This window comes from Homo sapiens, chromosome 2 (genome assembly GCF_000001405.40).
Source record: "Homo sapiens chromosome 2, GRCh38.p14 Primary Assembly".
NCBI classification, from domain to species: domain Eukaryota; kingdom Metazoa; phylum Chordata; class Mammalia; order Primates; family Hominidae; genus Homo; species Homo sapiens.
Window position 1 is genome coordinate 241,261,693 of NC_000002.12, and position 10,450 is coordinate 241,272,142.

Genomic DNA, 10,450 nt, shown 5'->3' on the forward strand with positions numbered 1-10,450 from the left:
TCACCTTCCTAACACTTAATGGTTTAACTCCATGAAGCCAGCTGGGGTTGGGGACTGTCCCGATGCCCCCATGTGGTTAAGTGGCACAGCTGGACCTGCATTAGGTGGCACTCCTCTGCCTCGCCTCCTGGCTACACCCTGCACTCCTACCCCTCAGGCCCTCTCCCATCAAATCCCCATCGTCCAATCACCATGCTCCAGGGTGCTCCAGATCCAGCTCCCACAAGATCAAGGAGACTCAGTAGCAGATGGGAAGAACCCCCATTCCTAAATAAGCCTATCTAGTACAACAGCAGTCACGCAACACTTTAGTAAGATTCTTTACATTTTTCTTGGTCTTTAAGTGCTACCACTTAGGGAGAAATGCATCAGAGATTTGCTTATTACAAATGTTCTTAAATAAAGTCCAAGTACTGGCATCAGACTGCCAAAGACGAGGAAACTGGCTTAAAACAGAATTTGAACTTGTAATCTCCTCAATTTGGGGCCTGGAAATGTGTAGTTAGTGAACATACTAGCAAAGCAATGGGAACCACCCATCTTTACCATTCAGCAAGCCCAGCTTCTTTTAAGTGTCTCAAACTCTGGGACAAGCTTCTAATTTTCAGTTTGGCCAGATGTGGTGGTGTGCCTGTAATCCCAGCTAACTGGGAGGCTAGGTGGATTGCCTGAGCCCAGGAGTTTGAGGCCACAGTGTACTATAACCACACTTGTGAATAGCCACTGCACAAGAGCCTAGACAACAAGGTGAGACTCTGTCTCTTAAAAAAAAAATTATTATTACTTTCAAGTTCATTCACTCAAAGAGCAAAAATGGTAAGTGTCCCAGTTCTATTATTAGTTTAGTGAGTTTTTCCACTAAAAATGCCAGAGGACTCTGAATGTTGCTGTCCTACCTCCAAAAGACGGAACTGTCCCACTGGTAGGAAGGGTCCAGTGACGTTCTAGCCTGCATCAGGAGCCGGGTAATGGAACGGGTACACAGTCACTGGGGAGAAGTAGGCCTCAGGCTACCCACCTGAGTCTGCAGTCTAGCAACAATGTCCTTCCGAGCTTTCATGACAGCATCCAGCTTTCCTGACACCATGATGGAGAGGCCTTGGTCTTTGGCCAAAGACAGCTCCAAGTGAGCACCAGTTCTCTGCATGATCTCAAGGCAGATTTTTGCTTGTTCACCTTCTCCAAACTGGTTCATATCCTTGTATTTTCTCTCCTCCAGGGGTACATGGAACACCTGCTCAAAAAAGATCAAAAAAGGAAAGGTTAAGAGATTAAAAGAAGGCCAACAGATAGGGAGTAAAGAACATGTGTTCATCACCATCCACTCACAAAGCAGCCCCACCCTGCCCACAGGCACTGCTCGAAGCCCTGGGATAAAGCAGCCGAAAGACAAGGAGAAAGGGCCAAGGTCAAGAGGCTGACATCCTAAGGAGAGAACCACATCAGCTGCACAAATGAATGAGGCAGCTAGCAAGTGCTGTGATGAAATCAACAGGGGCAAGAGAGTTTGAGAGAAAGTGGGAGGTGGACCCTGGGGACGGCCAGGAAACACCGTCCTGAAGCACGAGGCAGCTATCCATGTTAAGAGGTGAGGGAACTAAGGGTGTACAGGCAGGAAAGCGGAGGAGGTGGATGGGGGCGGAGCCTGGTGCACACACCAGAGGGGGACAGTGAAGAGGATCACCCATCCCACCCTGTAGTAAAAGTCAACACAGGCTTTTCAGCAGGAGGCATTCTGCTTGATGGTGCAGGGTCCCTCCCGTTGCTTTATGGAGAAGAACTGAGGAGGGACAAGGTGGAAGCAAGAGGGATCAACTACCCTGGTGTGAGACCACAGTCACCAAGTAGACAGTGGTACATTTAACAAAACCATTAACAAGATAGCAGACAGGTGAAAATGGAAGGATTGGGATGCAACTGTTTATGAGCCTAAAATTCAGGGAAGACACTGGCAGCGAGATAGTAATTTTCCACCATGACCAGATGATATGAATTTATATAAAAGTTTTGAAACTCACTAACATCTCAAATTCAGGTAGCAGAGAGAAGGGCTACTGAAGCCAAAGAAAACCAGGAAACTGGTTAACCTCTTCGAGAAAGCAGGATAATGAATAGAGAACAGAAAACAGGACCCATTCATCTGACAAACACTGCCTGCAAAACGACCACGTGCCTGTCCTACTGAGTGCTAGCATACAGGGTGGACATGAGAGAAGTGGTCGACAGAAACATCTCTGGGGTGGGGGATGATTTAAATTGAAGGCCTTCTCCCTTTAGCTACTCAAAGCATTCTCAATCTTGCACATTCAGAAACTCTTCCATCAGATTCTACGCTTGGAAGGATAGGTTAAGAAAGAACAGCAATTAATTTTTAAAAATTTAAAAAACTGGCCGGGCGCGGTGGCTCATGCCTATAATCCCAGCACTTTGGGAGGCCGAGGAAGGCGGATCACGAGGTCAGGAGATGGAGACCATCCTTGTTAAGATGGTGAAACCCCGTCTCTACTAAAAATACAAAAATTAGCCGGGCGTGGTGGCGGGCACCTGTAGTCCCAGCTACTCGGGAGGCTGAGGCAGGAGAATGGCGTGAACCCGGGAGGCGGAGCGTGCAGTGAGCCGAGATCGCACCACTGCACTCCAGCCTGGGCGACAGAGCGGGACTCTGTCTCAAAAAAAAAAAAAAGAAAAAAAATTTAAAAATTTACATAGACATGTTACATGATAAAATTTTTAAAAGAAAGAATGGTGTTTCTACCTGAGTGATGACAGAAGCCTTGATGGGTCGGATCTTGTTCCCCCAGGCTCCAGCGGGTTCCTGGGCACTTTCCAGGCAAGCAGCTTTCTCAGGAAGTGGAGGGAAGGCATCCTTGTAGGTTGGAGGGTCGCTCTCCTCTTCTGAATTTAGAGTGGCAACTGGACCAGCCAACACAGATTAAAAGGAAGCACTACTTTTAGCATTACATGAAAAACACTTTTAAGGGTTTTAGTGCTTAAAAACAGACAAACAAGAACCATCAAATGCTCCAAGGACAACTCCCCCCACCCCTCTCTTCTAATTCATAGTGATAGGAAAAGGCCCCAGGAGGTCACCAGGCCCAGCACCCTGAGTGTGAGAGCTAGAGGAGGCCAGAGACTCCCAGTCTCTGACAGCGAACCTACCCCCATCCACATGGCCTCCTTGGTAAACATCAGCTCAGACATTGTGAGCCCCACTCCCCTAACGGGGTGAGTCCCTTGAAAGCAAGCCTTGCTACGTCAATTTTTAAGTCCTCTAGAGTCTAATAACACACTTAAAAAAATCACAACTATGGCAATGCCAGGCACAGAGCAGACCCCTGCATTTGCAAAACAATGGTCCTACCCAGCACCACCTGTGAGAATTGCCTTTGAAGCAAACTCTGATTTTCCACTGTAACATACAAGGTTAAAAATGATTGCCGTGGAGGCCGGGCGTGGTGGCTCACACCTGTAATCCCAGCACTTTGGGAGGCCGAGGCAGGCAGATCACCTGAGGTCGGGAGTTCGAGACCAGCCTGACCAACATGGAGAAACCCTGTCTCTACTAATAATACAAATTAGCCAGGTGTGGGTGGTGCATGCCTGTAATCCCAGCTACTCGGGAGGCTGAGGCAGAACAATCGCTTGAACCCGGGAGGCAGAGGTTGCAGTGAGCCAAGACTGCGCCATTGCACTCCAGCCTGGGCAACAAGAGCAAAACTCCGTCTCAAAAAAAAAGACTGCAGTGGCAATTGTCACCGCTGATCTCCCCCTGCCCTGCCCAAGGCAGAGGACAGCAAGGCTTGTGGAAATCAGGTTCCCTGATTATCATCACTTCCATCTTCCATAGTGCCCTATTTGTTCATGTGTTTGTGCCATTAGCCACAATCTCCATGAAATCAAGGGTGTGACTGTTTTGGATAACCCAAATCCCCAGGACTGAGCATGGCGTCTTGGCAATAGCAAGGCCCAGTGAAAAACACCATGAATGGATGTGACAGAGAACAGGGGGATGATCTCTGGAATCAGACAGGCTCATGCCCAAGTCCAGGCCCATCGCTTCCCAGCTGCATGCCCATCTACCCGACAGCGCTGACAGGACAGGTGGAAGCATTCTTTCAGTGCCGTCTTCCCTCTCTAGAAAGGGAAACACAGACTTCACAGGGAAGCTGGCTCCAGGAGGAGGATCCCAGGCCCCCAGAACAAAGCAGCTTCTCGGGTTCCAACACCTGACACAGCAGCCACCAGAAATGAGCTTCTGAAATGTGGCTAGTGTGACTAAGGAAAAGTTAATTTTATATTTTAATTAATTTTAAGAACTAATACTCAATTTAGTTATTGGAAAACTTTTAAGTGTGTTTCGAACAACCTGGAGTAGAACAATCTGCTCTTTCAAATGAAGATTTTATAACATCTAAACACAGATCAAGGATTTTGGATGAAAATCTGGCATTCAAATGGAAGGAAATGTCCCACCGTTGTAAATACACATCAGACTTCGAAGAGAAATAATCTCAAATATCAATGGTTCCCCCCCTTTTTTTTACATTAGAGATGTTGAAATGACAGTGTATTAGACATATTGGGGTAAAATATCAAAATTAATTTCACCTGTTCCCTTTTAATAAGTACCAGAGAATCCTAAAAATTGTACACGTGGCTTGTAGTCTATTCTACTGTACAGCACTGCTCTTAATCCCAGCCAGTGGCGTTCGAGAACTCCGAAGCCAGGGTCCAGCCTTCATCCTCAAGGCAGGCTTAAGCAATGCTCTGGGATGCTTCAGAGCCCAGATTTTAGTTTACCACAATTAGGAAAAAGCAGTTTTGAAAAGGACTGCATTAATTACCAATGGTCAAATTCGCTGGCTTTCCAGAAAGCTGCCCACATGTTAAATCTCACTGTACTTGATTCATTTCCTCATGCCTGGCCAGTCGCCCCTGCACGCACAGCAATGCGAAAACAGTGCACAAGATGTTGGACCCTCCCTGCCCCACAACCACAGGGCCAAAAGGTACTTCTAGAAAGGGCATGGGATTTGGTAAAGGCTTTAGAGGGAGCAATGCCTTAGACATTACCAGGAAGAGCACATAAAAGGGCTGTCACCTTTGATTTGTTGCGGAACCAGCCCACTTCGGTGTTCAGCAAAACTCTCTTGGGTCAAAACTGCAACGGAACTCATGGTTGATCTCACACCTACACACAATCCGGGAAAACCACTAAAGCAAAGAAGAATAAATCAGAAGTCAAAGTACAACCCTCAATTATCTATGAGATTGTTAACCTAAGAGTTTTAGCAAAGTTTTACTCTCTTTTTTACCAGCAAACTATACCTTTTTATTTTCCTCACAACCTCTGATGTAAGCTGATACCCAAACTCTCACCAAGTGATAAAAAGGGGGGAAAATGCAAGTAAAGGAGGTCCTAGAACAGGGGTGGCCAATCTTTTGTCTTCCCTGGGCCACAATGCAAGAAGAATGATCTTGGGACACACATAAAATAAACTAATGATAGCTAATAAACAAACAAAAACAAAACAAAACAAACAAAAAAAAACCTCATGTTTTAAGAAAGTTTAAGAAATTTGTGTTGGGCCATGTTCAAAGCTGTCCTGGGCCTCGGGTTAGACAAGTTTGTCCTAGAACAGCTGGTTAACTGTCCCCTCAAAAGTTGCCTGTAATGGAGGAGCTCATCCTCCACTTGGGGCAGTCTGCATCCATTTCTCCACCCCAGGGGCCACAGAGACACAGTCAACACCACCCCTAACCGCAGGGGTGGGGGGACCATGGAACCTGCCACCTGCCTGACCCAGGCTCCAGGCATAGATCAACACCAGGATCGTTCTCCTAACAGCGACCTTGGTTATTCTGTCAATTTGCTCACCACACACCTCTTAATGCTTACAAAATGCATCATGACAGTTGCTACAAAAAGCCAGCGGTCTCTCTCTGCAAGGTGCATCCAGGCCCCAAACTAAACCACCTCCAAATCTCGACTTAACCAGGTGGTTATAAGTGGTAGCTGCGTGACAGGAAAAAGCAGCCTCAGTGCTTTGTAGCAACAGTAACAGACCCACAAATTGCGCTAAATGCCCTTGATCCACACTGACTGGTTATTCTCCCATCCCTCCAGGTGTGGGACAGAACTCGCACAGCAGGGGAAACCTGGCCCAAGGGCGCTGAGTTTCTCATTAGCACAGCCACAGTGCTCAGCGGGATATGGGCTCCGAAAGCCACAGCTCCCTTATGTGAAAAATGGGGTACATTCAGCATTCTGAGGTAGGAATGTTAGCTTCCTCTCCTTCCCTCTCCTTCCCTCTCCCCAGTTCCAGGTGAGCTCCAAACTACTACAGTGAGGAAGAACCCATTTTCTTTACACAATTACGCATCAATTACTCGCACAACAAGGCCAAGTAATAAGGAGTGAATTTTGCATAATTTTTATAACATAATTAAGACCTCTCCCCAAGTTGAAGAAAAGTTAAGGCCTGCAATCCTAAAGAGAAGCAAGACCCCAATTCAGATAATACTGAATAAACATAATTCACATTTAAGAAATAAAAGATTAAAAACAGACGGAAGCCAGATGACACATCTAAGGGACACACGTCTATAGATGGTTCCTGCTGGGAGGTGAAGCTATGGAGACATCTCTGACGAACCACGAGAAACTTGAAGGTGTGATATAAAGAAAGAAGGTACACACAGGACTAAGAAAATACGCATCCCTGCGCCCCCAGGTCCACACACAGCCCAGGGACAGGAAGTCTTCAGACAGGGTCAAACTTACCAGCAAAACGGTCAGTAGCCAGAAGGTCCGTCCTGAGGCCGCCTCTGTCAGCCTGCCAGCTTTTGCTGGTATGGGATGGGAAGTGGGAGAGGAGAGAGAGGAAACCAGAGAAAAGTTACTTATCTACATTTTACAACTCAGATCTTTTTACCTCAAAATCAGAAAAGGTCAAGATATTTATGCTTTGGTTACTAACACCAATACTCAGGCAAGTTTCTTGGAAGAAAAAAAAAACGTTAGCTTGAAACAAAACATATTAAAACAAAACATGAACCAGCTCCAACTTGCAGAGGACAACTATTCCAGGGACCTGAGGGAGTGATCTTTTAAGTGCCAAACTTCTAAACTTAACTATTTTGAAGTAAAATCCTCACAGAACCACTGGTGCTCTCCTGCATGGCTGGATCATCTTTCCCGTACCCCACATAACCGCTGGGCGGCTGAACCAGAAGAAGGGTTGTTGTGCTGGGCTCTGACCTACAACAGAATGTGGACCTCGGGGTCTCTGCAGCGCTTATGGTGACCAAGAGCTACCGTCTTCAAGAATTCTCCGTCTATTTTGCAGTTACTTTGTTCTTCTTGCTGTTAGCCTGTAAAAGTCCTTCAGTCCTTTCTAATCCACTGGGGATCTAGAAACCAGGTCATGAAATCGCAGGATTGAAAGGAACCTTCAAAGGCTGTCTGGGGAGGACCAAGAACTCTGTGAAGTAGGAGGGTGAGTCACCTTGCCTTAGGGGACTCTGGAGATGGGAGGCTGGCGACCACATGTGCTCCTCAACCATGAAAAGGTGGAACTGCTGACAGGAGTGAGGCATGTGTCTAAAATGGGAAAAGCAATGACAGTAACAGGAACACCCCACTCAACTGGAGAAGACTACTCGTACCGTGACAATAATCTTGCCCTTACGACACATGGGTCCGGAGCTGAGAAGGCGGTTCATGGCAATGGGGGAGCATCCAGTAGACTGGATTAAAGGGTCTCGCCTTTCCAGCAGAGGATGTGGACTGGTGGTATTTCTGGATTCTAATCTTGGTCATGAGTTTTTTAAAAACTCTAAATACAGGGCTTGAGTCACACAGGGAACCTGCCACAAACCAGAGACACTATGGGGCCCCAGATGCACCAGACACACAGATGTACCCCAAGACTGAAGGGGAAAGCTGGGACAAACTGATCAAGAGTATTCCATTTAAAAGCATCACCAAAATTCTAGTTTGCAAGTTTTAAAGATTAAAGTAAGAAAATTTCTCCAAAGTGTCAGATTAGCACATTCACAACTCGGCAAGAGCTCCTTGAGATTCCAAGTGTCTGTCCAGTCTGGGAGCAAAACAGGGCAGGGCACTCCAGGCTAAGGTGCCCCAACAGGTGTCCAGTGACACTTGCCTCTGGTCTCCCGCATCCACCCTCCGCCCTCCCACGCTTGCTTGCTGACTCTCACCTGGCATGGTCTCTCACTCAAGGTTGTCCCGGGCTCCAATGTCACTTCTTAAACCCAGACACCCACCCCCTTATCAAGCTAGGTTCTGGGCAAGTCTCTAGTGCCCAGTGACAGCCACACTAGAAGTCTGCAAAATGCAGTTCCGTCCATGTCAGCCCGCACCGACTCTCCAGCACGGAGCTGTGATGAGCCAATCCCCACTGTGCACCCAGTGTCAGTCTCTTCTGAGACCACTCACACACCCTTCAGAAGCCAAGTCCAGCCGGACCCTATACTGAAAGGAGTCTCAACATAAGGGAACCTACTCCTGTGTCTGAGGGAGACCCTGGAGCAGAGCCTCTCATGTTCCTCAGGCGTGCACAGACCCTCAGGCAGCCAGGTAAGGCAGAAGGCAGACCTCCAGAAAACTCCAGACTGGTTTGACAGGCTATACTGGGTCCCTAGCCTCCAGATTCCAAGTGGCAGTTTGTCAGAGCGTGTAACGAATGGTTCACAACTAGAGACACATTTAACATCTAGGGTTCTGGTATCATCAAACAACATTTTGTTTTTCTTCTAAACAACTCAAAAACCTGTTTTCGAAGACTGCGTTTTAAGCAAGCATTTGATGACCCACATGTAAATGCAGACCCTGTCCCCACCTGAAATTCTGGGTGAGATTTTCTTAAAAGTCAGTCTCATTCTCCTTCTGTGCTCCCAATCCAGTGAGGCACAGCCCAGGGGTCCACCTGCCTCTGGTTCAACAAAGCAGCACCTAAGAAGCTGACCCTACAGCCCCATGTCCACCCCGCACTGCTACGCCCTGCTCCTGGCTCTGCCTTCACAGACAACACCCACGAGGGTTTAATCCTGTTCCATGTGGATCTTTCAGCAACCCCAGGACAGCGCCAGGCAACTCCACTTGCTATCTGAAGTTCCCAGGATACCTTGGGCAGGCCTAGATACCCAAGAACAGAGGCTAACATCGGGTATCTCAGATTCTCACTGGATCTAACAGTACTGTCCAAATCAGGATTGAAAGGAACCTCAGATATTAATCTAATCCCATTTCTTAATACCACCAGGGACAGGAAATTCATGGCCTTCTCAGGGCCCGGGTCCACCCCTGCATGGCTGTAAACGCTCCACCTCAAGTTATGACAAAATCTACAACTTCTTTCCCCTTTCTGGCCATGGAGAACAAGTCCGCTCTCCTCCAAGGCTCCTTCTGGTAGGTGAGCCCTATCTCCTGTCTCCTTCAGTCCCTCCCATATGGCCCCAGTCCCTTCGTGATTCTGGCTCTCCCAACTACTTTTCCCATAGGAAGCTCGGATCAATCAGTGTCCAGGTCCACCTAATGTAAACCTCAAACTATACTGAACCTGGACTTTTAATTTTGTTTCCCAGAGTGCAAACATCCAAAGCAAAAAAGGTCACATCTCAGAATTTAACTTTCAGCAAACAGAACTAGAACTAAAGGAAGGAGGGCAGGAACCAAGACCCCTTTCCGCCCTAATACGTGTAGAGCAAAACGTGGAGTCCTGACAGAGCTGTGTGTTGCGTGGGAAACCTGGTGCTTACAAGTTTAGCACAAGTCTAACAGGTTTCTGACAGCAACAAAAAAGGCTTCACATGAGGGGTTCTACTTTTTTGCTTTTAAACGAGGAAGTAATTAAGTTGATTCCCTTGTGATAAGTTTTGCCAACTACATATTCAAGGGGCAACAGTCTTCGAAGAGAATTATCAGTAATACTCCAGGAAGAATTTCATTTCAGCCTCAGTTAATGAGACCCGCAAGTGCTTTAAAGCACCAGACAGGACCGGGTATGGAGGGCACCAAAAAAGCCTCCGGCTGAAACCCAGACTTCTCCTCTTCCAAAACTAAAATTACTCAAGACCACAAACCAAAGTTCAGAATGGGAAAATAAAATCCTGATCCACTCAGAGATCACAAGATCGAAATCTAGGAGAGACCACAGGCGACTGGCGAGCAGAAGGCAGGCTCCGCTCCGCACTTCTCACCAAGTTCTGGAAGTCGGCACCCATCCTGCATGGAGGAACTTTCGCAGATGCCACCTCAGCACGGCCCTCCCACAGGCCACGAGGGCCCGCGGGCGGGGACAGGCTTAAAGGGACAGCAACCCCTCGGCCTCCCCGCCTTTCATCCAAATTCGGTACTTTTCCGTAATGTATTTTTCATCCACGACCCTGGGGCACGTCCAAGTTGCACTCCAGGCCCAAGAAGAGC

At 47.5% G+C, this 10,450-nt stretch overlaps 1 protein-coding gene across 25 annotated transcripts in view, besides 1 other annotated feature; it reads right to left on the reverse strand.

Moving 5' to 3' along the window:
* Positions 1-10,450, reverse strand: part of HDLBP (high density lipoprotein binding protein) — an 88,382-nt gene that overhangs the window by 34,402 nt on the left and 43,530 nt on the right. For 9 of the 25 annotated variants that reach the window (XM_017003941.3, NM_005336.6, XM_047444077.1 and 6 more), the window contains 4 exons: positions 6,785-6,849; positions 5,102-5,214; positions 2,756-2,913; positions 1,019-1,234 (listed from right to left, as the gene is read on the reverse strand). In XM_017003941.3, the coding sequence (XP_016859430.1) occupies positions 1,019-1,234; positions 2,756-2,913; positions 5,102-5,177 (450 nt within the window). In that variant the 5' untranslated portion in view covers positions 5,178-5,214; positions 6,785-6,849. Of the gene's footprint in view, positions 1-1,018; positions 1,235-2,755; positions 2,914-5,101; positions 5,215-5,885; positions 6,017-6,784; positions 6,850-7,136; positions 7,604-8,223; positions 10,274-10,450 lie in introns of those variants that run through there. The other 16 variants (XM_011511058.4, XM_047444079.1, XM_047444068.1 and 13 more) reach the window with 11 other exon arrangements.
* Positions 10,286-10,365: an enhancer, noted in NCBI's record as "active region_17421". NCBI's record gives its function as "activates an Ori minimal core promoter by ATAC-STARR-seq in GM12878 lymphoblastoid cells {active_cell/tissue: GM12878}" and the evidence as "EXISTENCE:reporter gene assay evidence [ECO:0000049][PMID:35858748]".